Here is a 25,010-nt window from a genome sequence, read left to right as displayed (position 1 = left end):
GTGCTAAGCAGGGGCATGGGGCTGGCACTTCCTGCTCCTTACAGAGCATCGCCAGTTACAGGTGGTAAAATACCAGTTAGTCTTCAGTAGCACAGGCAAGGAGAGTCATTAGCAGCAGGTCCTGATGTGGGGACAGCCATCCTTTTCCTCTCTTTAGTTCTACCCTTTTTCTAAGAACAAAGACCAAATGGGGTAATCTGTGGCCTTTTTTTTCTGGCTTAGAATCTCCAGGGTTATGATGCCAAGTCTGACATCTACAGTGTGGGAATCACAGCCTGTGAACTGGCCAACGGCCATGTCCCCTTTAAGGATATGCCTGCCACCCAGGTAAGCCTGCCGCCCATCGGTTTCCTTCTTGCCTGCTTGCCTTCCACAGATGTTCGTTGAGTAGCTCTCACACTCAGGACACAGACTAGGAATACTAAGATGAAAGACCCTGTCTTTTCCTTCAAGAAGTCCCACCCAGTGGGGGATAGTGACCTCACTCTTTGTTTACTTCCTGTGGCAAACCTGGTGGTAAGGGAGGCCAGCTTGGGGAGGGGAGCCCGGGAGCAGGGGTGCAAATGGAGGCCCACACGCTACATGTCTATTTAAAACATATACATTAAGCTAACTAGTTTTTATAAATGCATAAAATATGTTCTGTCCTCCTACTTGGATAAATATACCTGGAAGGTCAGTTTCTAATTTAGAATTCCCACAGTTCTTAACCGCATTCCAGCTGACACCTTTGGAACCCCCATTCTGTAAGTTCAGCTTCTGTTCATGACCCTCCAGATGCCTGTCCTTTGGCCACCCCTAGGATCCAAGGGTGCACAGTCAGTGGCACAGTCTACCCTTGGGAAAACAGACCCAGGGAAGAGGCTTATGCAAGCCTCATTAAATCCAGAAAATGGATTTGGGGTCATTTGGGCAAGGATTACCTGGGTCCCAGCTACTTGGAGTGTGGTCTGGAACTGGGAGGGGCAGGATGCAGGCTCTAATTAAGCCACTTCCGGAACCCACAGGCTGCTTGCCCGGTGGTAGGGGCAGCTGGAGGGTGGCCAGAGTGCAGCCCCCCAGAGCAGGGGCCCAGGGAAGTCCTGGGAGGAGGCAGCCTTGAGTTGGAAGGCAGACAGCAGTCACCTGTGTGGAGGAGGAACTAGGACACTCTTCTCGGCAGACAGCAGCATGTGCAGAGACCCAGAGTCTAGAAAAAACAGATCTGGAGAACAGCAAGGAGGTGTAAATGGTATAAATGGCCAAGGTGCAGTGCTTCTTGGGGACTGCCAGGTGACAGGCACAGAAGGAAGCAAGGGTACATTGTGAAGGGCTTTGATGCCACTTTAGAGCACTGGTTCCTGTCCTAAAGCCTGTGGAGCAGTGCTGAGGATTCTAAGCACAGGAGTGACAGCATAAGATGGCTCATTTACAAAGACCACCCCGGCAGATGGATTAGATCCAGTAGCTCAGTTAGGTGGGTATGGAAGTCTATGTGAGGAATCTAGGAGATCTCAGTAAAATAATTCAGTGACAGAGGATGCTCAGGAAAGAAAAGGTGACTGAGGAGGAACAAGAAGTCCAGGCCTAGAAGCAGCACCATCCACTAGAATTTGCTGCAGCGAAGGAGGGCTTCTGTGGCTGCACTGTCTAGCGTGGGAGCCATGAGACTGTGTGGCTGTCGAGCATTTAGAAGGTGACCAGTGAGACTGTGGGACTGAATTTTAAACCTCATTTAAATCGAAATAGCCACAAGTGGCTAGTGGCTATCACGTTAGTGCAGCTCTAGAGCAATTTCCAGGTTTCTGGCTTGGACAGCTTATGCGGTCATGAGGACTTCCACGAGGACAGCAGTCCCAGGTGGGGCTGGTTTTATATGTGTTGAGTTGGGGTACTTTGGAACAGCCACCCAGCCTGGCCTCCCCTTGGGCATCTTGCTCCCGTGTGGCCTGCTGCAGCGACAGCCCAGGCTGTGGCACTGCAGGGACTGCCTCTCAGACCTCATCGGATCCACCTGAGCATGGCAGACGGCTGGGCTTCAAAGCAGGTTCATCTGACTGCTCCTTCCCTCTAGGGTGAAGACTCTACGGTAAAAGGAATTTGATGCCTTGGAAAGGGAGAGCGGAAACTGTGAGCCCTGCTTTCCAGCCATGGCGAAAGCGGGTACTTTTGTGCAACCCCTCTCCTTTCACGTTGGCCTGGCTAGGGCGGAGCTGCCACGCCAGTGACCAGCGTTTCTTTGGGAAAATTGGACTTACTCCACTTCCACCTTTTCCACTCTTCAAATGATCACATTTGCATATTGGGAACAGTGTATTTGTGAAGAGACTCTCAGGCCTTCCAGGGACCACCCCCCCCCCCCACCCGCTACAGCCCAGGTCCTGGTTCTGTCCTCCCCAGATGCTGCTAGAGAAACTGAACGGCACAGTGCCCTGCCTGTTGGATACCAGCACCATCCCCGCTGAGGAGCTGACCATGAGCCCTTCGCGCTCAGTGGCCAACTCTGGCCTGAGTGACAGCCTGACCACCAGCACCCCCCGGCCCTCCAACGGTGACTCGCCCTCCCACCCCTACCACCGAACCTTCTCCCCCCACTTCCACCACTTTGTGGAGCAGTGCCTTCAGCGCAACCCGGATGCCAGGTATCCCTGCTGGCCTGGGCCTGGGCTTCGGGAGAGCAGAGGGTGCTCAGGAGGGTAAGGCCAGGGTGTGAAGGGACTTACCTCCCAAAGGTTCTGCAGGGGAATCTGGAGCTACACACAGGAGGGATCAGCTCCTGGGTGTGTCAGAGGCCAGCCTGGGGAGCTCTGGCCACTGCTTCCCATGAGCTGAGGGAGAGGGAGAGGGGACCCGAGGCTGAGGCATAAGTGGCAGGATTTCGGGAAGCTGGGGACACGGCAGTGATGCTGCGGTCTCTCCTCCCCTTTCCCTCCAGGCCCAGTGCCAGCACCCTCCTGAACCACTCTTTCTTCAAGCAGGTATCGTAGCCCCTTCGTTCTGGTTCTGGTTCTAGTTCTGGTTCTAACAACTCACAATCCCTTTAGCTTTCTCTCCCCTCCCTTTGAATGAGAGAAACTACCCCGCTTCCGAAGCCCCTGAAAGACACTGCTCCTTCCTCTCATGGAGTTGGCTCCGACAGCCCGTCTGCCACCAGGCCATGGTTCCTTGCCCCATGGTGTCCTGGGACCCAGAGCAACAGGATCTGTCACCCACCTCTCTCTTCTCCCCCAGATCAAGCGACGTGCCTCAGAGGCTTTGCCCGAATTGCTTCGTCCTGTCACCCCCATCACCAATTTTGAGGGCAGCCAGTCTCAGGACCACAGTGGAATCTTTGGCCTGGTAACAAACCTGGAAGAGCTGGAGGTGGACGATTGGGAGTTCTGAGCCTCTGCAAACTGTGCGCATTCTCCAGCCAGGGATGCAGAGGCCACCCAGAGGCCCTTCCTGAGGGCCGGCCACATTCCCGCCCTCCTGGGCAGATTGGGTAGAAAGGACATTCTTCCAGGAAAGTTGACTGCTGACTGATTGGGAAAGAAAATCCTGGAGAGACACTTCACTGCTCCAAGGCTTTTGAGACACAAGGGAATCTCAACAACCAGGGATCAGGAGGGTCCAAAGCCGACATTCCCAGTCCTGTGAGCTCAGGTGACCTCCTCCGCAGAAGAGAGATGCTGCTCTGGCCCTGGGAGCTGAATTCCAAGCCCAGGGTTTGGCTCCTTAAACCCGAGGACCGCCACCTCTTCCCAGTGCTTGCGACCAGCCTCATTCTATTTAACTTTGCTCTCAGATGCCTCAGATGCTATAGGTCAGTGAAAGGGCAAGTAGTAAGCTGCCTGCCTCCCTTCCCTCAGACCTCTCCCTCATAATTCCAGAGAAGGGCATTTCTGTCTTTTTAAGCACAGACTAAGGCTGGAACAGTCCATCCTTATCCCTCTTCTGGCTTGGGCCCTGACACCTAAGTCTTTCCCACGGTTTATGTGTGTGCCTCATTCCTTTCCCACCAAGAATCCATCTTAGCGCCTCCTGCCAGCTGCCCTGGTGCTTTCTCCAAGGGCCATCAGTGTCTTGCCTAGCTTGAGGGCTTAAGTCCTTATGCTGTGTTAGTTTCGTTGTCAGAACAAATTAAAATTTTCAGAGACGCTGCTGGAGAATGGCATTGTGTCTGCGTCAGCTCAGGGGCTACAGGCTGCTTCCTGGTGTGTGTGCTTGCAGGGATGGCCGTGCTGCCCCAGGTGAGAGCTGTCCCACCATCCAAGAGCAGGCCCATGGGTGCTCACTGAAGCTCAGCAGTGACCTCTTACACTAGATAGACCAGTTTATTTGAAAACCTGTAACAGATCTGTCTCTTAACTATCTAAAATTTTAAGACTATGAATTTTAGCCTGTGGTCATCAAACCACTTTGGAGCTAAAAAGTTCCAAAGATTGAGATTGAGGCAGAGGATGCTGGTGGCCTTTGGCAGGAAAGGAGGTAGAAGGGTTTGTCTTGCAACCGGACATGGGTGTCTCCTTACCCTGGGTGCTAGCACCCAAAGAGCAGGAAACCTAAGAACCAGCCCCGCCCATCCCTGCCATGCTGGCTGGCGCCAGCGAGTGTGAGCCAGGGGGTGCAAATCTGAGGCTCCCTGCAGTGCTTCCAGGGCACATGGCTTACCCTTCTCCCAGTCCCTCAGGGGGAAGGCCCTCCCCCAGCTCAGGCACCTCAAATGCCCCTCTAACCTGAAGCTGCACTGAACCATCAGGTGCCCTTGCTTTCCGTTTCCTCCCAAATTTTAACAGCAGTTTAAAGAAGAAAAGTAAGCCTCTTTGGGCAGTGAGAGGCTAAGGTGAAGGGAATGACACTGACCCTGGGCTAGGATGGGGCCTGGGGCGAGTGAGTGTCGGGGGCGGCGGGGAGCATTTCCGGCCCTCCTCCCCCTGCTTTAAACCTCAAGTTCCCTTCGCCTCGCCCCGCCCTCCCCCCCCCACACACACACAAACACAGAGTCTGTCGCCCAGGCTGGCGTGCACTGGCTTCATGTTGACTCACTGTAGGCTCCACCTCCCGGGTTCAAGCGATTCTTCTGCCTCAGCCTCCCGAGTAGCTAGGATTACAGGCACACACCACCACGCCTGGATAATTTTTGTATTTTTAGTAGAGACGGGATTTCACCATGTTGGCCAGGCTGGTCTTGGACTTCTGACCTCGTGATCCACCTGTCTCTGCCTCCCAAAGTGCTGGGACTACAGGCGTGAGCCACCGCCGAGCCAAGTTCCCTTTTTTTGTTTGTTTTTGACGCTGGTCATCAGTTTCCTTTGCTTCTGGATGCCTTCTGCACCTTGCTGTTGGGGCATCCTCAATGCCCATCTGCAGCTCAGCCCACAGGCCCGTCCTGGGCAGGGTGCCGGGGCCTCACCATGCCCAATGGCAGCAAGCCCTGCTCCTAGTACCCCCGGGGCTTCCCGTTTCTTGCATCAAACAGCCCCTTTGGAGAATCTGATGACAGGTGTGGAAGCTTTCCCGAGAGGCAGCCACTTTAGAGGGTCTGACGCTCCCCACTAGAGAGTCGGCCCACAGTGCAGACAAAACGCAGATCTTCCTCTAGAGAGAACAGAAGGCTGGAGAGGAGACGCGGAGCCGGTCCGTGGAGTCCGCCAGCCTGGGAAACAGCTGGTCGCTGGGGAAGCTGCAGCCTCCCTGCTCCCCTGCCAGGCGTCGGGCGAGAGCTGTTCTGTTCCCTGACAAGCGCGTGGGCCGCCAGTGCTATTCCTGCCACAGTGTGGGAAGGCGCTGGGCTAAGGGCTGTGCTTCCCGGAGCTGCTTCTAGCCTGATTTCCGGCCAAGCCACGCAGTCCCTGGTGCCCGGGAAGGCGCCGGCCTCGCCGCCGCTCCAAAGCGAGTGGCCGTCTCTCGCCGGCTGTGCCTCCGGCCTGCTGTGCGGCTGCAGGGAGGGAGCAGCTCTGCGGCCCAAGCTCTGTCACCTCAGCTCTCTGGGCCGCGGCTCCCACGTGAGAAATGAGGTGCGCTTGTTGGAGAGGGGGCCCCCGTTGCTGCCCACAGAATTCCGCCCCAGAAACGCTTGAGTACGTGGAGCCTCGGGGGACGGGTGCTCCGGGAACCACGCATACCGGCCTCCCCAGCCCGTCGCAGGGTTGCAGAGGCGCCGAGGGCTGGGGGGGCTGCCGGGGCTGCCGGGCCCTCGTGCAGGCTCCTCCCCGCAGCCTCGCGGCCGGGCCTGGAGACCGCGTGCCCGGACGCCGCCGCCAGCCTCGTGGGCCGCAAAGGGGCGGGGGCGGCCCCTGGCGGCGGGAGGACTCGGCCGCCCGAGGGACCCCGGGCCAGGCTCCGGGGTCGCCCCGGCTGGGTCTCTGCGGCCCCACAGCTCTGGGCGGGGATGGGGGCGCCGGCGCCTACGCGCGAGGCCAACCGGGGGAAACCGAGGCAGTGAATGGCCCAGGCCCCGCCCGGTTATCCCGGAGCCAGGCCGGGAGCGCCCAGTGTCCCGCGACCGCAGCCGCCGCAGCCTGAACTCGTCCCCTCCCAGTAGGATGCGGAGCGCGGCCCTTCCATCCTGTCCCTGCCACCGTTGCTTCCCCACGCCGGGCCGCCGTCGGGATGGGCAGACGGCGCGGCCGGTACCCGAGGCCTGCGAGCGCGAGGCCCGCGGGGCGCTGCGGAGCCGGGAGCGCGGAGCCGGGGCGGGGGACAGACAAAGGCGGGGACGGCGGCGAGGGGAAGACAAAGCGCGGAGGGGGGTCGGCGGCGGCGCCGGGGCCCCGAAGGCGGCTCCGGGCGCGGCGGAGCCAATGGGCGGGCGCGGGGCGGGGGCCGGCGGGGGCGGTGCAGCGATAAGGCGGTGGCGGCGGCGGTGGCTCGGGGACCACTGGTAGCGGCAGCAGCTCGCGCCCGCGCCCTCCTCGTACCCGTGCGCCCCCGGAGACCGATCCCGCCCCGCGGCCCAGGCCGGGCCTGGTGAGAGCCGCGGGGGGAGGGGCCGCGTCCGGCTCCGGAACCGGGAGAGGCGCCGAGGGGTGTGGGGTGAGGGCCGCCCGTGGGGTCCCGGCGAGTCTGCGAGCCGCTCTCGCCCGGGGCGCACAGGCTCGAGTCCTCGTTTCAGGGCCGGCCCCCGGCTGGGCGGAGCCGAGACCCGCTGGCGGGGCTCGCGGCGTCGGGGTCTGGGGTCCGGTCCTCGCGGGGCCAGGTCGGGGGCCGAGGGGCGGGGCGGGCGGGGACCTCGGGCGCTGTCCAGGGGCTGCGCAGCCTAGGCCTGGACGCCCGGGCGCGGCGCAGGGCAGCGAGGGCCGGGGTCAGGTCGGGGCAGCGGCTTCTCATCGCGGCCCCGCCGGCCCCGACCTCCCCTCACCCCAAGCGGTCCCAGCCCGCGGGACGCACACGGCGGCTGCGCGGGAGCCCCCGGCCCCTCCGCTCCCGCTAACTTTGTTCTTCCGAGGGACGGTGCCACTCGGGACCCCGGCCCCTGGGGAGCAGGGGTGGGGGAGGTGGGTGAGGGGCGGAAGTGGCAAGACCAAGAGCAACAGGAAATGACTTAGGGAAAGTCCCAACCGCAATCCCCCCAGCCCCTGCCTGTCAACACCCCCCACCCTGCAGGCTGGGGCCGGGCTGGCGGGGCCCTCCCGACTGACTTCCCCTTGCAGAACCCAGCGGGTGCCGCTTCTCCACCCGAGGCTTCCACCTCCAACGAGCCATGTTCCAGGCTGCAGGAGCCGCCCAGGCCACCCCCTCTCATGTAAGTGCCCGGCTGGGTGGGAGGGCCCCCCGGACAGGAGCCTGGCCTGGGGTGAAGGGGAGAGGCATCAGAGTTTGCCGGCCCCCTTTGTGCCCTGCGGCGCGCCCCTGGGCCTTGGGCTGATGGCTGCAGCCCTGATCCAGGGCCTCCCGGAGCTGCCCCTGCCCTGACCGCCCCTCTCCCTCAGGACGCCAAAGGCGGCGGCAGCAGCACGGTGCAGCGCTCCAAGGTAGGGGCCTGGGGCCGGGTGTGCGGGAGGAGGGGTGTGAGGGAGCGGGATGAGCACTGGGGCAGCACCTGGCTGAGCTTCCCGCACAGTCCTTCAGCCTGCGGGCCCAGGTGAAGGAGACCTGCGCCGCCTGCCAGAAGACCGTGTACCCCATGGAGCGGCTGGTGGCCGACAAGCTCATTTTCCACAACTCTTGCTTCTGCTGCAAGCACTGTCACACCAAGCTCAGGTGCGCCCCTGCCCTGCCCGCCCCCGCCTCGCCTGCCAACCCAGCCCCGACCTGACCTGACCTGACGCCGTTGTTTGGCTTCTGCAGCCTGGGCAGCTACGCCGCGCTGCACGGGGAGTTCTACTGCAAACCCCACTTCCAGCAGCTGTTTAAGAGCAAAGGCAACTACGACGAGGGGTTTGGCCGCAAGCAGCACAAGGAGCTCTGGGCCCACAAGGAGGTGGACCCCGGCACCAAGACGGCCTGAGGCCTCTGTAACCTTCCACCCCCTCTGCGGAAGGCCTGGAGCCGGCAGGGGGAAGGTGGGAAGGAGGTCGAGCTGGGCTTGCGTGGGGGCCAGGTGGGAAGGGGATGAGGCTTGCTCAGGCGTAGGGGACCAGGGCAGGGCTCTGCTCCAGGACTCCTTCCTTCTTCCTTCTCCCGCAGCCGGTGAGGGTTTGGAAACCAGGATTGGGGTCTGCCCACCACCCTGCTTCCTGCTTCGTTCAGCCTCCCTCCCCACCTCACCCCAGGACCCCCTGGGAGGCCCCCAAGCCCAGCTCCCCTATCTAGGTGCCTTTTCTCCAGCAAGGAGTCAGCATGCCCCCCTCAGGGTCCCAAGCTCCCTCACTGCCACCGGAGACTGTGTGGCCCCCACGTCTCCCCATCTACCTCTACCCTTAACCTGTTTCTGAGCCACGGAGACAGGGAGGAAGGAGCGCGACAGTGCCACCTGTTGGGCATCATAAATGCCCCTGCAGCCCATGGGGGAGGAGATGGGGAAGTGGAGCCACCCTGCCTCTGCAGGGCAAGGCAGGGCCTGCCCCAGTGGGGCTTGGGACCATCTCGAACCACCAGCGTGGAGAAGCAGAAGCAAAAGCACTCGCCAGGCTGCAGCCTCAGGCACTGGCAGGGGCTGGTGCGGCCCCACTCCCCTCCCCCGCTCCCATTTGTGCCCATCCTGTTGTGACCAACCCCGTTTTAAACATGTTTCAATAGATCCAGATTCTCTATTGTGTGGCCTGCTGGGGGATCTGTCACAGGAAGGGTGCAGACTCACCATGGGGCGGGCATGGGGGGACAGGGCCAGCCCCGACTACCTCGGCCCTGATGGGGGCAGGGAGCTAGAAGTGGGTGTCAGTTCCCTGACACACCATTGAGAAATGGGAGGGCTCCTCTTCACAGCGAGGGCTTCATGCTGTCACACCCACAGTGGTTTTGGAACTGAAACTCCACCTCACCCCTCAGTTCTGGGTTGGTTCAGACCCACCAACTTACCATATGCACCCCATTGTGAAGAGGCCTGAGAGCGGGAGGGCCAGGCTGCCAGTGGGTGATGGCGCCTGTCCTCGCTGCACTTCAGTGCCTGGGGTGCAAGCTGCCGCGTTCCCTGGCTGGTTCCAGCTGTCTAGCTCCCTCCCTTCTTCCCAGCCCTTTGACCTGGAAGTAAGTTAGCGAAGAATGGCGGTAACCAGCAGACCCAGCAAGTGCTGCCCAAGGTTTTAGTGACCCCTGGATTGTCCCCCCTCATCATTACCCCTCGCTGCTGTCATCATCCCCTTGCCTTTTCAAGCTCTGCGGAGGTGCAGTCACAGCTACTGTCTCAGGAAATCCAAAGAGAAACTACCTCTGCTTCTCTGAAAACCCAGGGACAATGAGGGATGAGTTCACAGCAGAGCAAACCAGGCAAGTTGGGAGGACCTGAGGGCGCCCCGGTGGGACACAGGCAGAAGTCTGGGTTGTCCTGCTCCAGATTCAACTTCCTGATGTCTCCAGACATGGGATCGATGAGAACAGAGACTCCTGGAGGGTTTGCTGCCACCACACCATACAACTGCCTGAGTTCCTAAGTGGCCTCCCCGTGGAACAGGGCAGGGAGCTGGGCCACAGGCTCCAGTGTCACATAAGTCACTATGCTGAGGCAGGCACTGCTCCTCGAGGGAGCAGAGCGAATACTCAGCAGAGATGGTGCCCCGGCCTGGATCCTCCCAAGTGTGAAGTGAGCGCCTCAGAGCCTCTCAGGGCAGGCCAACTTCCTGCACCAGAGGTCTCAGATGGCAAGGATCATCTTGGTTCGGTTAAGCAACAGTAGCAGATGACCACAAGGGGGTACTGGAGAGGTGGCTCTTGGAGACACCTGACCCCTGCCCTGCAAAGATGGGACTGAAGGAAGTCCTCTGGGCCAGGAAGACCCTACCAAATATCATGAAAGCTCCGGGAACTCAGCCACTGGTGACGTTCAGGTTGTGAGGGCCAGCAGTGCCACCCTGGTAAATCAGCCCTGTTGGGACCACCCCAGTGGAGCTCCTGGAGGGGCAACTGGAGGAAAGGGGCAGACACCTCTGGACTGACAATGGTATCAGCCAGATCACCCCAGGACCCCTCTACTTGGAGTCAAGTTCTCTTCTGCTTGAAAGGCCCAGGCTCGTTGCCAGGCACCATACCTGGCCCCTGCTAAGCAAAAACCTACCTCCACCCCCCACAACTGAAAGCACTGCCACAGGACCCCTCTGATATAAATGATCCCTTTTATTGTAAGTAATGCGCAACACTGGCCTGGCTTTGCACTGCAAGCCCTCGGTCAAGATATAGTCAAATAACTATGGCTGCAGGTTCCACAGTTCCACAATAACCATGGCTGCACGATCCACAATTCAGACACAGACATAGAGCTGGGGTGGGTGGAAGGGGCAGGAGGGTGGCAGAGTGCGGACTGTCCCCAGCCCTGGCCTCTCCATGCAGAGTTGGCCCAGGCAGACACACCCCATGGAATGATGAGAAAGTGACGGCACGGCCCCTTCCCACAGCAAGCCTGGGGCTGCCAGGAACTGCCCTTCAGAACCTTTGGGCCCAGGTCACCCTGAAGCCCCACAACTTTTTATCTGGATTAGTTATTAAAAAACAATAAATTAAGCAACAACTTGGTCCTGAGGATGCTGAGCCAGCATGTCCACAGTTTTTGGCACAAAAAAATTAGGGTCTGTTTTGCTTTTTTGGAGTGCAGGGTTTGTTGGCTTGTCTTCAAATTCATTTTCAAAACACATTCCCAGTGAGGTAAGACCCCAGGGGGTGGAGCTCTGTAAGACCCTGAACCTGGGACGCACAGTTGAGTCAGCCAGCACCGTGCTCTGTATCCTCTTGGGGAACAGGGACTGGGGATGGGGGTGCGGGCCAGGAAGAGTGTGCAGCCACCAAGATGGGGTCGTAGAGAGGCCGAGCTGCCACACAGCAGCTTTGGTCAAGATGAGGGCCAGGCCCCACCCTGGGCAAGGGCCGAGGTGGAAGCAGGAGCCTGTGTTGTCTTCAGAGGGCAGTGTGGGGTACAGGGGCTGATAGAGCCCCTGGGGGAACAGGGATGGACACAGGAGGGTCCAGGCCCAACTGGCGCATGCGACACACACTTCTGCAAAACCAGCTGCTTTCATTTTCTCTTCTCTCTCTTGAGGCGTCCGTCACCTGTAACAGTCTAGAATTGATATATATAAAAACCATCAAATATGATCTGAGATATAAATTAACAAGTACAAGGCCTCACATTACATGATGTGAAAAGGCTAAAAACAGCGATAGAAACTACATTCATAAAAGTGCATCGTCAACATACAACGAAGGCTTTGGCTTGTTCTGTGCCCATGGGGATGTAGGCATGGCTGGCAGGGCTGCCTGGCACTAATCCCCAGCTCCCTGGAGATGCCCATCCCTGGGCACTGGCTTTTTTTTTTTTTTTTTTCCTTTAATGACAACTCCCAAGGAAACTGGGTGTTGAGAGGGAGGAGCTCTAGCAATAGGCACATTTTGGAGGGGAGGGGCCGGAAGAAAGGACCAGCGCCCAGGCTGAGGTAAATATGGCCAACTCTAAGCTGCTTGGAGATGCTGTTTCCCCAACCCCTGCTGCCATTCCCCCTCCAGGGGAGGAGCTACAAGGGAAAGGGGCTGAGACCTCAAGGGGATGGGCGAGGCTGGCTGAGGAAGAACAGAGCTGGCGGTTTTGGACACAGCTGGTGGTAGCATATGGGCTTTCCCTTCTACCAGATGGAGTGGGCTCTGGCCTAGCAGGTCACGACTCAGGCAGCCTGAGACACCTCCTCGGGCTCTCTGGGATCAGGGCACTGGCCAGGCCAGATGCCCCGACCGTGTCGTCCATCTCCCCTTCTGCTCCAGTGGGGAACAAAGGCTGGGCCAGGAGCGCAAAGGCCACAACCTTCAGCTCTTTTCAATGCAGCCTAGGCCCAAGCCCAAAGCAGGGGTACTCAGAGCCCAGAGGGCACACACAGTCTCCAGTTTAGAAACTGGGTACAGCATAAGAGTGACTCCAACTTGTAAAACAGAGACAACTGCATTGACAAAACTGGATCCCCCCTCAGTGGCAGCAGTTCCACATCGCGGGCCCCTGCCTGGGAGAGGCAGGGTCATGGCCACAGGCAGGACAGGCTCCTCCTTCCCTGAATAAGGCAGCATGACATTTGCTTCATTCATCTTTGGTAAAGGACAGGACTGGCAGAGCCAACCTGGGACTCTAGGGGACGGCAGCCTGGGCCTCTGCCTGCCACTGCTAGCGAGTGCTGGCCTTTCCCTCAGGCTTGTGGGAGCTCATCCAGCCCAGAGATGCCCTGGTGGTCTCCAGACATTGGAAGGAAAAACAAAATAACACTTTGAATGAAAATAACACTCTTCATACCCTGGCGTCAGTCTTGTGCCCCCAGACCCTCTGGGCTTCGGTGCCAATTGCAGTGTCAGGACACATCCCCGAGGGTGGGGCCCACGGCTGCCTTGCACACTGTTCCCAGCCCCTACCCCTCCACGCTGAGCTCAGGACACTGGAGCTCCTGGATCTGACAGGCTGGGGGCTCCCAGTCCTGAGGCTGCAGCCACCCCACCCCGGCTCTGAGCCCCAGTGGCGGAAGGGGCACAGACCGACGCTGGCTGGGCTGCCACTCCATGGTCCACAGCCTTGCCTGGGAGAAGCAGCAACTTCACTGAGCCCAGCAGCAGCCCCCTGCCATGCAGCAAAGGGCGACCGGCAGCTGTGTGGCCGTGAGAGCTCAGTACATGAGCTGTGCAAAGTGGTGTGTGAGCAGCTCCTCAGCTGAAGGTCTCTGGCGAGCCTCCACAAAAATGCGCCTCAGGAAGTCCCGGCCATGTTCAGAGATGTGGGAGGGCAGCTGAGGATTGGTGGGCTGGGTGGCAATCTTGAAGATGGCGGCCATAGCTTCATACTCTGCCCACGGTGGTTTCTCTGTCAGCATCTCCACCACAGTGCAGCCCAGGCTCCTGGAAAGAGAGAACCCCGTGTCACCCCTCAGCCAGCCCTGGACTCCCAGCTGTCCTGCCCACCACTGCAGAAAGAGGCGCCTTTCTCACAGCAAGCTGAGGTGCAGGACAGGCCAAGCTGAGGGATACCTCAGCTTGGATGTCTGTCCACGTGGGCTTCATGGACCTACACTCACCACACACCTGGGTACTTCTTGAAATAAGGAAAAAGAGAATCACTTAGACTTGACAGAAAGAACTCTACAATAACTGTATTAGCTACCCATAGCTGCTCTTAACAAATGACCACAAACTTAGAGGCAGGAAAACAACACAAATGTATCATCTTACAGTTCTGAAGGTCAGAGGTCTAAAATCAGTCTCACAGGGCTAAAGTCAAGGTGGCGGCAGGGCTGGTTCCTGTCAGAGGCTCTGAGGGGAGAACCTGTTTCCTTGCCTTTCCTGGGTTCTAGAGGCCACCTGCATTTCGTGGCTCATGGTCCCCTCCTTGTATTACTCCAACCTCTTGCTTTCATTGTCTCACCTCCTATTAGCCACTCTGACCTCTTGAGACCCTTCTGTAAGGACCCTTAATCCAGGATAATCCATCCATCTCAAAACCCTTAACCTAATCCTATCTGCAAAGGCCCTTTGCTATATACAATCACATTTACAGATCCAGGGATTAGGCAGTGGACATCTTTGGGGGGGCCATTATTCAGCCCACCACAATAGCTTTCCAAGGGGAGAAGCTCTCCTGACTTAGGGGCCATTTCAGAGGATAGACACAAGGTTATGTCGAGCAAGTGCAAACTGTCTTGAGTGCTAGGAGAAGGGACAGAAGCCTGCTCCTGTTGAGAGACTGGTCCAGGCCTTCAGGCCTTCAGAGTGGATCCTGCTTCCTTAAGAGATTTAGCAAACATGAGGGATGTTTTCCATGGCCTAAGTTCCCAGCTCTAATGGAGTGTGCTTTGAGCACCACCCATGTGGTGTGTGTGCTACTGCACCCAATAATACCCTTGCACACACTGCAGCCTGGGCCCTGGGCACACTCCCTCCTGCCACACCACAAAGTCCCCAGGGTGTGTTTCTAATGGGGGGCCACTATGGCCTGGGTGGAAGAATGGGTTCTGCATGTCCCAGTGCTCACCACACGTCTGCTTTCCTTCCATAGCCCTCGCCGCTGATCACCTCAGGGCTCATCCAGTAGGGTGTGCCAGTGACGGAGCGCATGCCCGTCCCCGACATACAGATCGTCTGCAGGCGTTTGCTGGCCCCAAAGTCCCCCAGCTTTACATTCCCAGCAGAGTCTCGGAGGATGTTGGCTCCTGAGGCATGAAAGGGCAGAGGCTGCAACCCTGGACCCTCTTGCATTTTCTCCCATCCTCCCCACCCCCGGGTCACTGAGAGCTGCTGGAGAGGGCAGGGCTACCACTGAATTAGACATGAACTGCAAAGGGCAAAGGATTTAGCAAAGGGGAGTCTCAGATCTACCGCACAAAATGACCATCTCCAAGGCCCACATGTAGAGGGAACTTGGCAATATTCTCTCATATTGCTCAACCAATCTCACCAGTTCCTCAGGGAAACAACTGGGGTCCCACTTTTCAGAAAGTTCAGAATGGTTAAGTGATTGGCCCCTGCAGGCACTCAATGGTAGACTTGAACCCAGGTCCTGGGGACTCCATGTATCCTGGCCCTGCTCACCCTTAATGTCCCGGTGAACAATCATGTTGCTGTGCAGGTAGGACATGCCCTCCAGGATCTGCCGCGTGTACTTTCGGGTCACGCTCTCTGTCAGAGCACCGTAAGCCTTCAACTGGTCTTTCACCGAGCCCTGGAGGCCACAAGAAGTCAGAGGAGTCCCCTCAGGGGAGGGCTGGTGGAGGGGCAAGCCCATTCCAGCCCCCAGCATGGCAGCAAAGGAGTGATTTGTTCAATTCCTATCTGGCTGGGCAGGGCATTTTGCCAGGAGCTGTCAGGCAGTTTGGAAAAGAGAGTACCCCAAGTCCTTCTCAAGCAGAGCGCCACCCAAATCCAGGAGCAGGGAGGCCTCTCTGCTCCAGATGAAGGCTGCATTTACTGGACAGTGGGCCAGCCCTGCATGCCTCAGGGGAGTGCTGGACCTAGGACAGCTGTCATCTCATACTCCCACTGCAACCTGAGGCAGGGCCCTCCTGACTCCAAGTCCCACCATCACCTCACTTTGCTCCTCTGGGCCTCTGGAGCCTCAGGTGTTCAAACTCCTATCCAAGGTGACCCCCCTCCTGCAGGCCCCAGCCCCCAGGTCAGGCCCTCTTTTGTGTGTGTCTCACATGCATTCAAGGGGCACGTACCCCTGGCATGTACTCCATGAAGATGGTCAGGGTCTTCTCAGCGCGGTCCCGCAGACAGCCATAGTACTGCACGATGCGCTCATGCTGCAAGTTCTTTAGCAACTGGATCTCGCACTCCAGAGCACTCACCTCCTAGGGGAGGGGTCAGTGGTCGCCTCAGCTCTCAGGGCCCTAGTTCTGCCCGCCTGGGTTCAGCTCAGCTTGCCCTAGTTAGTGGCCTCACAGGGATCTGCCTTGGGAACTGCAGTTGGAGAAAAGGGGGACTCTCTTAACTGTCTAGCTCTTGGCCACAATGCTGGGCAGGCCTTGGGATGGTGGCACTCCCATGGGTGGAAGGAGGCAGGGAGGTGGGAGAAGGGGCCGTGGGTGCTTAGTTAAGGTAACTGCTGTTTGTCCACAGAACTTGAAGTATAAGCGACGTTGAAAGCTGAACTGCAAAGACAGGCCATATGATTCCTCCTCTAGAGCTGGACCAAGTGAAGGAGCCCCACAGCTCCTTCCTGGGCTGAGAGCTGGGGAGAGATACTTGTCTAGGGGAGGGAGTCCCCTCTGTGTCACAGGTCATCACCTCTCAGTTTGGGTTACTTGGTACTTTGGCATCAGCTTAGTTCCTTACACCCAATCCCTCCCCTCCAGGTGCTTGGTGCTCTTCAGACCACAGTCCTTTCACCCTGTGGCTGGGACCAGGATGGACAGAAAGGGAGTTTGGGAAGAATGACAGAGGAAGCAACCTACAGCATCTCAGGCAACTACTCTGTGTGGTAAGACAGGCATTTTTGTTGAAAGGAGGGAACTGAAGTCAGACCACGGGTTAAGTGTACCTTGCTTGTCTCAGGACTGTCTGGATCAAATTGGACCTGCTTGGAAGCAAGTTCACGTCCCGTGTCCACGTCATAGCACAAATAGACCCTGCCGAAGGCACCCTGGCCCAGGAGCTTTCCCCGGCGCCAGTTGATGGGGGCACTGGGAGCTACAGGAGAGCAGAAGGAAAGAGTTACTTTGTGTACATTATTTATGAATATCCCATTCATTCTCCAGGAACAGGGTCTCTGGCTCAGGCTCCCCCTCACCCAGCACCCATCATCTCTTAGTAGAGCATCTCCACCACAATCTGGAGCAAGCCCAGTGCCCTAGTCACTCGGACCTGAAGTCAGAGTCCTAAGAAGCAGAGGATTGGCTGAAGTCATGGTTAAATGCTCTTCTGCATTGATCAAATGCATTTCCTTCCAAAGCCCCTAAATATCTTAATATGGCAGGGATGAAGGGTGTGCTCTTCCCTAGTTTAAACATGGAAAAACTAAAGATCAGAGAGGAGAAGAGGCTTGTCACACAATAGTGGAGCCAGGCTTCAGACACTCCAAGGCTTATCCCATGTGGTGCATTTGGGCCAAAGCCACCACCTGCTGAGCCTAAGGGTCCCAGGGGCCCAGCTGTTTGCCCCCGTAGCTTGTCTGAGACCACCTGGGCAGTCTCCTCCTAGCCAGGGACAGCTCCTCACACTTGGTTGGCACATTCCTCTCCTGCACAGAGAGGGCATTCTCGCTGTCCGCACTCCGCAGGCGCCCACGGGGGTCCAGGTATTGCACAGCCAGACCCATGTTCTCGCCATTTGTGCTCAGGGAGCGGCTGGAGGGCACCAGGGTGAACAAGTTGCCTTGATGACGCCGTATTCGGGGAAATGTTCTTCTGCCTGAAAGGGTGCAAGGGCCAGAGGAGAGCAAGTCACACCCCAGGCTACGAGGCGGAACGTACAAACCAGGTCTGAGACACCCCGGGCTACAAGGCGGAATATACAAACCAGGTCTCAGCCAGAAGTGATAGATAATACCAGCTCCAGCCCATCCCGTCCGCACTCCCACCTGACTCATTCCACAGAGGCTGCTGTCCCAAGCACTCCAAGAATCAGGACAAAAGCAGAAATTAGGAAGTAGTCTGGTTCAGGGAGATCTGGCCAAAGGGAAGGTGTATGGCTGGCCAACAGGCTCCCAATTGCTTGCAAGGCCAAGCCACACCCGAAGGCACTGATTTCCTTGTATCCTACTCCTTACCCCTCTACAGGGCCCAGGCCACCTGCTGCTGTGGGGCAGAAGAGGACATGGGAGAGATGGTGCCCCTGGAGCACACCACTGGCTTCAAACAAGGTCAGAGTTCCCAGTGGCAGCATCTGGTCTACAAATACTATCTTCCCTGTTTTTGTTTTTGTTTTTTTCCTGTCTCCCATGCCTCAAGTCTGGGCCACAAATCCTCAGGAATGAAGGAAAATACAGGCACTGCATGGACGAACCCACCCTCCCCATGGCAACTTGTCCTTTCTTGAGGCAGCCAGCAGGGAGCAGGTGAAGAAGAACTCACCATCACTGTAGTCCTTGTGGTGCACAGACACGTGGTAGCGCCGGGGGTAGGTTCCACCTTTGACCCCTTTGTCATAAAGCTGAGTTTCCCGATCTGAGTAAGACAGGGGAATCACTGGCTTCTGGGTAGGTCAATGTGAGCCACTTAAGCCCCCAAGTCCCCAAGGCACCTGAGACCTCAAAGCAGCAAGCCCAAGGAGAGCTACTGACTCAGAAAAGTCGAAGCAGAGCCACCTGAGGCCCCACCCAGACACCCTGCATTACCCACCCAGGCTCTGTGGAACTCACCTGAGTATTCCTGTCTGTTGTCAGGGAAGCTCTGGGCACGGGACATTCGTGATTTCCGGAAGGATGGGCTGGAGAAAACAAAAAGAAAAAACAGACTCCCGCACACTTCCACAGCAACCAAGCAGGGCGTCCAGGCAGTCTCCCTTTCTAACCCCTGCCACAGCATTAGGTGGGGGAAGCAGATTTTGCGGGAAATAGCCCTTTTCTGAGCCCAGCTCCTGCTTTCTCCACCCTCCCTTCACTAGTCTGTGACCCAAATTTGACAGCACCCTGAGTGGTAAATCTCCCCCATCTGACCCAACTCCAGCCTGGCTGCACAGCCCTCTCCCTCCTTGGCCTTTCTTCCCACCTCTGTAACAGGCAAAGAGCTCCAAGAGAATCCTTTGCCCAGGGCAGTAATAAAAACAGCCACAGCATCATCGTTGATAGGCTGCTGCTTTCTTACCTATTTTCTAAAGTGAGGTTTTTCTCATTTAATCCTCAGAACGCTGTGAGGTAGCAAATACACCATATAATAAAAATAGCATAATAGCAGATCCACTTGATGAGCAGCTAGGCTGTTTCTGTCTTCACAGACACCCCTACAGATTAGGCACACACAGTCCTATGTATATGCTCAAAGATAAAGCTAGGAAGACAGGGCCAGACTTTTTTTTTTTTTGAGATGGAGTCTCGCTCTGCTGCCGGGCTGGAGTGCTGTAGCATCTCAGCTCACCGCAACCTCTACCTCGCGGGTTCAAGCGATTCTCCTGCCTCAGCCTCCCGAGTAGCTGGGACTACAGGCACGCGCCACTGGCCAAGATGGTCTCGATCTCTTGACCTTGTGATCCACCCGCCTCGGCCTCCCAAAATGCTGGGACTACAGGCATGAGCCACCGCGCCCAGCCCCAGACTTTTTTTTTTTTAAGATGGAGTCTCGCTCTGTCGCCCAGGCTGGAGTGCAGTGGCATGATCTTGGCTCACTGCAACCTCCACCTCCTGGGTTCAAGCTATTCTCCTGCCTCAGCCTCCCAAGTAGCTGGGACTACAGGCATGTGCCACCATGCCCAGCTAATTTTTTTTGCTTTTTTTTTTTTTCTTTTTGAGACGGAATCTCACACTGTTGCCCAGACTGGAGTGCAATGGGGCGATCTGGGTTCACTACAACCTCCGCCTCCTGGGTTCAAGCAATTCTCCTGCCTCAGCCTCCCAAGGAGCTGGGATTACGGCGCCTGCCACCACGCCCAGCTATTTTTTTTTTTTTTGTATTTTTTAGTAGAGACAGGGTTTCACTATGTTGGCCAGGCTGGTCTCGAACTCCTGACCTCATGATCCACCCACCTCAGCCTCCCAAAGGGCTGGGATTACAGGCAGGAGCCACCGCGCCTGGCTTTTTTTTTTTTTTCATTTTTAGTAGAGACGGGGTTTCGCTATGCTGGTCAGGCTGGTCTCAAACTCCTGACCTCAGGTGATCCGCGTGCCTCAGCTTCCCAAAGTGCTGGGATTACAGGCGTGAGCCACGGTGCCTCAAGGCCAGACTTTAAATCCAGGTCTATGAACCCAAAGTCTATGTTCTTGCTGCTAAACCAGGCATCTTTCTTTCACCTTAATCATCACCATCCCATTTTGGAGATGGGGAAATTCAGGAATAGAGAGGTTAAAAGACTTGTCTGAAGCCATTCAACTAATATTTGGTGGAGCTGGGACTGGATCTAGGTTTGTCTGGCTCCAGATCTCATGCCCTTTCCCAGATCCCGTGAAGGGAAGATGAAAGCCCTGAGCCCAAGTCAGGCTGGACCTCAAGGAAATAAGTCCAGGTCATTCACAATGAGAAGAAAACAAAGTACTGCAGGCACAGAGGAAAAAACCCAAGAATAGAGAGGCGGGTAAATTTAGCTATCTTTCCCAGCACCCACCTGAATGGCCCTTTCCCTTACACAAGAGTGCTTATTGGCCTTTTGCGGGGGCCACAGGTTTGAAACTCTCAAGGCAGTGGCACAAGGGGGCTGCCCCCTCATTTCCCAACTACTAGACCTTCTGTAGTCCTCTTCTCTCCCCTTTCCCCTCCAAAGCTTAGGAGATAATCCAAAGCCAGAGTCAATCCCTGTCTTGGCAGAGCCCTCAGTCTATGACAGCAAGCCCTGGCACTCTTGCCTGTGCCTTCTTACTCCCCTGGTTGGAAAGCAAGCCCCAAACAAGGCTACACATTGGAAACCAAGTAACCATGACTGTATTCTATGATATCTAAAGGGAAGACAGTGCTCATCAGTGCTCAGGTCTATTAGGCAAGACAATGCAAATTTAGCCATAGTCATAATATCACTACCCAAATGAACAATTAATCAGTTACACAAAGTAAAAAAATCCCCAAACCTTTTCCATAGCCTCTGACCACAGTCCTAAGCCCAGACAGACGTGATCAAAAGTGTTCTTGGGCATAATGAGGCAGAGGCGAGGGAGTGGCAAGATCAATGCCAAGGCCTCTCCAAACATACCCTTGCGATTTGGTATGTAAAGGACACCACTTGTTTCCTCCCAAAGTGTAAGAAGAAGATATACACCAAGCAGGTGGCATGGTACACTAGGCATTCTGGATATTCTGTTTTTGGGTTTCAGTTTCTTACTCCACCAAAAACACTTGGAATAAAAAATGATGGTAAAGCAATGGATGAGAATTCAGTTCTCCCCCTAAAACACTGACAGTCCACTCCTTCTCAGTTCAGATCACAGCAGTGAGGCCAAAAGTACGAGAGCGGCATATATTATATGGAAAGTCAAAACATGTAAAGCACTTAGAACAACAAAGCAAGTACTTAATAAATGAGCTGCTATTTTATGAGCTATTATTACATTCATTTAATTATGCCATCATAACATTCTCGTGGTGTTGGGGAAATTAAGGAGAAGGCTTTTCCTAGAAGCATGATGTTTTAACCCTGGGCCTCCAGAGCTAACTCTTCTTCCTCAACCCATCAATTCCAAAAATGCCTATGCATTACCCTCCAAACCACCCACAGTCCCATACCTGTCTGCTGACCTGTCCAAGGATTGGCAGCTTCCAGACAAGGAATTTTCTGCACTGCTCAGGGGATCCAGCATCTGTAAGGCAAGTCAAACAATGAAGCCACACCCCCAGCCCCAATTCCCCCCAGTGACCCAGGCTTTATGGCAAGGGCCAGCAAATGGGCCTTTTTGTCAAAACATGAAAGTGTCCTTTTTCTCCCCATGCAATGGGAAGAATAGTTAGAAAGGTACCATCCTCCCCCTTAGTTTGAAAGGCAAGTTTCCAGGAGGGAGAAAAATGCTTGGCTGGCATCCCAAGGAGCTCTGGCAGGAGAGCAAAGCAGAGGCTCTGCTTTTCTTGTTGGCATGTTCTTGGCTCATTAACACTGGAGCCTGGCGCTGGAGATGGTACTACCCTGCTGAGCCTTCCAGTGAGTTCGGGTGGGACCTTAATGCTTCTGTTTACACTCCATAATTTATAATTTACAAAGACAAGGATTGCCTCATTTCACAGATGAGCACTACAGGCCTAGAAAGGTTAGGAGACTTGTCTAAAGTCATAAAACTAGTTAGTGCACAGCTGATACCAGAACAAAAATGTCCCAGTTCCTGGTCCAATGCAGAGGTAATAGATATCTAAATATAATAAAATATTTCTCTGGCCCCTGGTCAAATGCAGCAACAAAAGGCCTTTGGAATCCCTTTTTCTCCAATCAATGTCCTGAAGGTCCTCCCTTTCATTTTCTCTGCACAAAAGTTGGGGTGGGGTCTTCAATTTCAGAATATTCATTATCCGAGCTCCAACATTAAACATTACATAGGGGCCAGACTTGGTGGCTCATGCCTGTAATCCTAGCACTTTGGGAGCCGAGAGGGAAGGATCACTTGCACTCAGGAGTTCAAGACCAGCCTGGGCAACATAGTGAGATCTTGTTTCTGTTTAAATATTTTTTTAATTAATTTTAAAAAATTACATAGGGAAACAAAGTATCAGAATTATGAAAATTCACTAACGACCTCCATAAAATTAGTTTCCAACTCAAATATTTTTTCCCATTTAATACCAGGGTCCATCCCCACCCATAATTTCAAATGCTTTAAGTCATGTTGTCACACATGATTTTTTAAAATCTGCCAATCAAGGCAAATTAATTGCAAAGTAAAACTGCAAATGTTGCTAAGGATATAGGATAGCCAAAGTGGATGAAACCAACATCGGAGAGAATTGCTTTAAATCCATCAGATGCATATTTGGCAAATTTAGACTAGTTAACAGAAAAAGACAAAATGGACAAATAAATAACATGGCAGGTGTGGTGGAGGAAGAATACCAAAGATTCACAAGAGGCCTTGGGGAAAACTGCTGAGTCCTGTGAACGCTCTTGTAAAAAATGACGTTCTTTATGGTTAGAAGTCAAGCAGGGAGTGAAGGACGTTACATTGTGCTAGCATTTTGTTGTTGGTGCTGTTGTTCGAGACAGGGTCTCATTCTGTCACCTAAGCTGGAGTGCAATTCACTGCAGCCTGGGCTCAAGTGATCCTCCCACCTCAGCCTCCCGAGTAGCTGGGACTACAGGCAGGTGTGCCACTATGCCCAGCTAATTAAATTTTTTTTTTTTGTAGAGACAGGGTTTTGCTATGTTGCCCAGGCTGGTCTTGAACTCCTGACCTCAAGCAATCCTCCTGCCTTGGCCTCCCAAAGTGCTGGGATTACAGCTATGAGCCACTGCGACCGGACTGACATAATTTTTGTTGGAAAAATTAGGCCAAAAAATTAACATGAATCATGCTTTGCTCATTCTAAAAATTAGTAAATAGATGCAATTATTGCTTAAACCTGATTAAAGAAAAAACAAAACTTATCATATTTTCACTTTTCAGTAAAGTCACACTGGAATATTCTTTTATTACATACTATGCAGTGTTCGTTCCTGTTAAGCAGATTGATCTCAAATGGCCTGTTACCAGGAGCAATTCTCTTCAGCTAAAGAGGCAGGCGCTGGGGGAGGACCTTGGCAATCCCCAACCACTGCCTTCCTTGGCCTCTTTCTAAAAGTCTGTCCTCACTGGGAGTCAAATCCTCCCAGGCCTTCCAGGGCCATGCAGGCAAAGTAAAAAAGTGAAGGGGGCAGAGTATAGGACCATGGCGAGGGACATAGACTGAGGGCAATCAAGCTCATCTGCAATCTCTGGGATTTTACACCCAAGTCACCCCTAGAACAGCTGATGTCCAGAAGTGCCCTGGTTAGAGAAACCAGAAAGGATGGTCAGTAAAATGCCCAAAAAGGAAATCTGCAGCTAATGGCACTCCAGGTCACTACTCCAAACATGAATTTATCTGGAAGGCAGGAGTATAGAAGGAAGAAGAGTACAAAGGGCTTCTCATAGCCTACATAGTTTGAATAATGAAAGAAAAGTTACAAGAATCAGCTTTTTATAAGATCTCCCATGTGACAGCACAGGCCCTTCTGTTGGACATTTTCCCCTTAAGAAATTTCCCCTTCTCAGGCCAAGCCCAGAAAGTGTAAGAGCAGCCTTTTCTTTTACATCAAAGCAAGTTTATTGAAAAGACCAGAATGAAGCTAGAGATCTCATGCTTGGTGAGTTCACTAAGCCAAATTGCCATTTGCATCAAGTAAGCCACCAATTTAAAAGCTAGCCACTAAAATGGCTGAGCCACTGTGGTAGACACACCCTAAGGTGATTGCTCCCTCTTCCAATTAGTCCCAATGAACTGCCTTTCCCTTTAGTGCAAGTAGAACCTGTGACGTGAGTCTAGCCAATAGACTATGGCAAAGAGGATAGAATATTCATTCCTATGATTATGTGATGTTTTATGACTCCATCTTTGCAGATTGGAGCAAAAGATTCTCCTGCTGGCTTTGAAGAAGCTGCCATGTTGTGAGAGGGCCCCATGGCAAGGAACTGCAGGTGGCCTCTAGGAAGGGAACTCAGAGAAGCCCTTGGGTGACATTCAGAAGAAAAGAGGAACCACAGTCCTACAGCCACAAAAAAACTGAATTCTGGCAACAACCATCTGAGCTTAGAAAAGAGCCTCAAACTCAAGAAAGGCAGGCAGCCTGGCTGACACCTTGATCGCAGTCTTGTGTGACCCTCAGCAGAGGACCCATTTGAGTCATGCCTGGACTCCTCACCCAGGGAAACTGGAAAATGATAAATGTATATTGTTTTAAGCCTCTAGGTTTGTGGTAATTTGTTATGGAGCAATAGATAACTAATACAACTGTCTACCATCATAAATGATCAGCCTAACCAATCCTACAGTGTAATTTTGATATGGTTTACTCCTTACCTTTCATCAAGAAACAGCAAAACTAAAATATATCCAATGAAAAACATAACCTGTCACTTTAGAACCAGTCGTATGTTAAAACACTACTGAAATGAGCTGGGCGTGGTGGTGCCTGCCTGTAGGAACAATGAGAGGACCACGATGAAGAAAAATCTGTTAAATCCTCACCCAACAACAAGGAAACTATGTAGTTTAGATCCTTTAGATCCCATCTTTGGCAGAAATTGTTATTTGGCCCTTAAAAAGGGACAATCCATATTTGGGCAGGCCTGGTTTATAAAAGAGCTTTCAAATGGGGTTCATGTCCCTCAGTTCTGCACTGTGACTACTAAGAACCCCTTGTTATGA

General features: G+C 54.7%; 3 protein-coding genes and 2 long non-coding RNA genes across 33 annotated transcripts in view, besides 17 other annotated features; 3 read left to right on the top strand and 2 right to left on the bottom strand.

The window, feature by feature from the left end:
• STRADA (STE20 related adaptor alpha) overlaps positions 1-4,130 on the top strand; it is a 39,155-nt gene extending 35,025 nt beyond the window's left edge. For 6 of the 16 annotated variants that reach the window (NR_156741.2, NM_001003786.3, NM_001363786.1 and 3 more), the window contains 4 exons: positions 223-327; positions 2,380-2,621; positions 2,915-2,957; positions 3,211-4,130. Coding sequence is in view for 15 of the 16 variants with exons in the window: in NM_001003786.3 (NP_001003786.1) it covers positions 223-327; positions 2,380-2,621; positions 2,915-2,957; positions 3,211-3,363 (543 nt within the window). In the remaining variant the exon portion in view is untranslated. Of the gene's footprint in view, positions 1-222; positions 328-2,053 lie in introns of all 16 variants that reach the window. The other 10 variants (NM_001363789.1, NM_001165969.2, NM_001165970.2 and 7 more) reach the window with 4 other exon arrangements.
• LOC729683 (uncharacterized) lies at positions 4,277-6,624 on the bottom strand. The gene has a single exon (NR_046273.1). It is a non-coding gene; the product is annotated as an uncharacterized LOC729683 (long non-coding RNA).
• Positions 4,859-4,938: a silencer, noted in NCBI's record as "silent region_8829". NCBI's record gives its function as "represses an Ori minimal core promoter by ATAC-STARR-seq in GM12878 lymphoblastoid cells {active_cell/tissue: GM12878}" and the evidence as "EXISTENCE:reporter gene assay evidence [ECO:0000049][PMID:35858748]".
• Positions 5,254-5,838: an enhancer, noted in NCBI's record as "H3K27ac-H3K4me1 hESC enhancer chr17:61778484-61779068 (GRCh37/hg19 assembly coordinates)". NCBI's record gives its function as "activates a minimal SCP1, AML or CMV promoter by ChIP-STARR-seq in naive H9 embryonic stem cells {active_cell/tissue: H9 hESC(naive)}" and the evidence as "EXISTENCE:reporter gene assay evidence [ECO:0000049][PMID:30033119]".
• Positions 5,359-5,458: an enhancer, noted in NCBI's record as "active region_12559". NCBI's record gives its function as "activates an Ori minimal core promoter by ATAC-STARR-seq in GM12878 lymphoblastoid cells {active_cell/tissue: GM12878}" and the evidence as "EXISTENCE:reporter gene assay evidence [ECO:0000049][PMID:35858748]".
• LIMD2 (LIM domain containing 2) lies at positions 5,807-11,074 on the top strand. Of its 5 annotated transcripts, none has more exons than XM_005257705.5 (5): positions 5,807-5,978; positions 7,614-7,705; positions 7,893-7,934; positions 8,024-8,163; positions 8,251-11,074. In XM_005257705.5, the coding sequence occupies exons 2-5, from the start codon at positions 7,664-7,666 to the stop codon at positions 8,408-8,410; spliced, it is 384 nt and encodes a 127-aa protein (XP_005257762.1). In that variant the 5' UTR covers positions 5,807-5,978; positions 7,614-7,663; the 3' UTR covers positions 8,411-11,074. The 5 variants fall into 5 exon arrangements, with proteins under 5 accessions (XP_005257762.1, XP_047292809.1, NP_085053.1 ...); XM_047436853.1 differs by lacking the exon at positions 5,807-5,978 and adding an exon at positions 6,437-6,501; NM_030576.4 differs by lacking the exon at positions 5,807-5,978 and adding an exon at positions 6,837-6,930.
• Positions 5,839-6,424: an enhancer, noted in NCBI's record as "H3K27ac-H3K4me1 hESC enhancer chr17:61777898-61778483 (GRCh37/hg19 assembly coordinates)". NCBI's record gives its function as "activates a minimal SCP1, AML or CMV promoter by ChIP-STARR-seq in naive H9 embryonic stem cells {active_cell/tissue: H9 hESC(naive)}" and the evidence as "EXISTENCE:reporter gene assay evidence [ECO:0000049][PMID:30033119]".
• Positions 5,839-7,088: a biological region, named in NCBI's record as "H3K27ac-H3K4me1 hESC enhancer GRCh37_chr17:61777898-61778483".
• Positions 6,129-7,088: a silencer, noted in NCBI's record as "silent region_8828". NCBI's record gives its function as "represses an Ori minimal core promoter by ATAC-STARR-seq in GM12878 lymphoblastoid cells {active_cell/tissue: GM12878}" and the evidence as "EXISTENCE:reporter gene assay evidence [ECO:0000049][PMID:35858748]".
• Positions 7,179-7,638: a silencer, noted in NCBI's record as "silent region_8827". NCBI's record gives its function as "represses an Ori minimal core promoter by ATAC-STARR-seq in GM12878 lymphoblastoid cells {active_cell/tissue: GM12878}" and the evidence as "EXISTENCE:reporter gene assay evidence [ECO:0000049][PMID:35858748]".
• Positions 7,729-7,958: a silencer, noted in NCBI's record as "silent region_8826". NCBI's record gives its function as "represses an Ori minimal core promoter by ATAC-STARR-seq in GM12878 lymphoblastoid cells {active_cell/tissue: GM12878}" and the evidence as "EXISTENCE:reporter gene assay evidence [ECO:0000049][PMID:35858748]".
• Positions 8,919-9,228: an enhancer, noted in NCBI's record as "active region_12558". NCBI's record gives its function as "activates an Ori minimal core promoter by ATAC-STARR-seq in GM12878 lymphoblastoid cells {active_cell/tissue: GM12878}" and the evidence as "EXISTENCE:reporter gene assay evidence [ECO:0000049][PMID:35858748]".
• MAP3K3 (mitogen-activated protein kinase kinase kinase 3) overlaps positions 10,657-25,010 on the bottom strand; it is a 73,889-nt gene continuing 59,535 nt past the window's right edge. For 3 of the 10 annotated variants that reach the window (NM_203351.3, NM_002401.5, XM_047436088.1), the window contains 9 exons: positions 21,372-21,445; positions 18,368-18,435; positions 18,081-18,173; positions 17,227-17,418; positions 16,550-16,698; positions 15,729-15,860; positions 15,100-15,229; positions 14,543-14,720; positions 10,657-13,413 (listed from right to left, as the gene is read on the bottom strand). In NM_203351.3, coding sequence (NP_976226.1) covers positions 13,185-13,413; positions 14,543-14,720; positions 15,100-15,229; positions 15,729-15,860; positions 16,550-16,698; positions 17,227-17,418; positions 18,081-18,173; positions 18,368-18,435; positions 21,372-21,445 — 1,245 coding nt within the window. In that variant the 3' untranslated portion in view covers positions 10,657-13,184. Of the gene's footprint in view, positions 13,414-14,542; positions 14,721-15,099; positions 15,230-15,728; positions 15,861-15,881; positions 15,970-16,549; positions 16,699-17,226; positions 17,419-18,080; positions 18,174-18,367; positions 18,436-21,371; positions 21,446-25,010 lie in introns of those variants that run through there. The other 7 variants (NM_001363768.2, NM_001330431.2, XM_005257378.3 and 4 more) reach the window with 4 other exon arrangements.
• Positions 11,299-11,398: an enhancer, noted in NCBI's record as "active region_12557". NCBI's record gives its function as "activates an Ori minimal core promoter by ATAC-STARR-seq in GM12878 lymphoblastoid cells {active_cell/tissue: GM12878}" and the evidence as "EXISTENCE:reporter gene assay evidence [ECO:0000049][PMID:35858748]".
• Positions 11,439-11,498: an enhancer, noted in NCBI's record as "active region_12556". NCBI's record gives its function as "activates an Ori minimal core promoter by ATAC-STARR-seq in GM12878 lymphoblastoid cells {active_cell/tissue: GM12878}" and the evidence as "EXISTENCE:reporter gene assay evidence [ECO:0000049][PMID:35858748]".
• Positions 11,589-11,658: an enhancer, noted in NCBI's record as "active region_12555". NCBI's record gives its function as "activates an Ori minimal core promoter by ATAC-STARR-seq in GM12878 lymphoblastoid cells {active_cell/tissue: GM12878}" and the evidence as "EXISTENCE:reporter gene assay evidence [ECO:0000049][PMID:35858748]".
• Positions 11,720-12,607: an enhancer, noted in NCBI's record as "H3K4me1 hESC enhancer chr17:61771715-61772602 (GRCh37/hg19 assembly coordinates)". NCBI's record gives its function as "activates a minimal SCP1, AML or CMV promoter by ChIP-STARR-seq in naive H9 embryonic stem cells {active_cell/tissue: H9 hESC(naive)}" and the evidence as "EXISTENCE:reporter gene assay evidence [ECO:0000049][PMID:30033119]".
• Positions 12,319-12,418: a silencer, noted in NCBI's record as "silent region_8825". NCBI's record gives its function as "represses an Ori minimal core promoter by ATAC-STARR-seq in GM12878 lymphoblastoid cells {active_cell/tissue: GM12878}" and the evidence as "EXISTENCE:reporter gene assay evidence [ECO:0000049][PMID:35858748]".
• Positions 13,169-13,448: an enhancer, noted in NCBI's record as "active region_12554". NCBI's record gives its function as "activates an Ori minimal core promoter by ATAC-STARR-seq in GM12878 lymphoblastoid cells {active_cell/tissue: GM12878}" and the evidence as "EXISTENCE:reporter gene assay evidence [ECO:0000049][PMID:35858748]".
• Positions 14,326-14,415: an enhancer, noted in NCBI's record as "active region_12553". NCBI's record gives its function as "activates an Ori minimal core promoter by ATAC-STARR-seq in GM12878 lymphoblastoid cells {active_cell/tissue: GM12878}" and the evidence as "EXISTENCE:reporter gene assay evidence [ECO:0000049][PMID:35858748]".
• Positions 15,965-24,626, top strand: LOC101927898 (uncharacterized). The gene is made up of 3 exons (XR_243740.4): positions 15,965-16,489; positions 17,787-17,869; positions 24,204-24,626. It is a non-coding gene; the product is annotated as an uncharacterized LOC101927898 (long non-coding RNA).
• Positions 18,247-18,296: an enhancer, noted in NCBI's record as "active region_12552". NCBI's record gives its function as "activates an Ori minimal core promoter by ATAC-STARR-seq in GM12878 lymphoblastoid cells {active_cell/tissue: GM12878}" and the evidence as "EXISTENCE:reporter gene assay evidence [ECO:0000049][PMID:35858748]".

Source organism: Homo sapiens, chromosome 17 (assembly GCF_000001405.40).
Source record: "Homo sapiens chromosome 17, GRCh38.p14 Primary Assembly".
In the NCBI taxonomy this organism is placed as follows: Eukaryota; Metazoa; Chordata; class Mammalia; order Primates; family Hominidae; genus Homo; species Homo sapiens.
The sequence above is the reverse complement of the archived record's forward strand: the minus strand, read 5'-3'. Positions and strand labels throughout refer to the sequence as shown.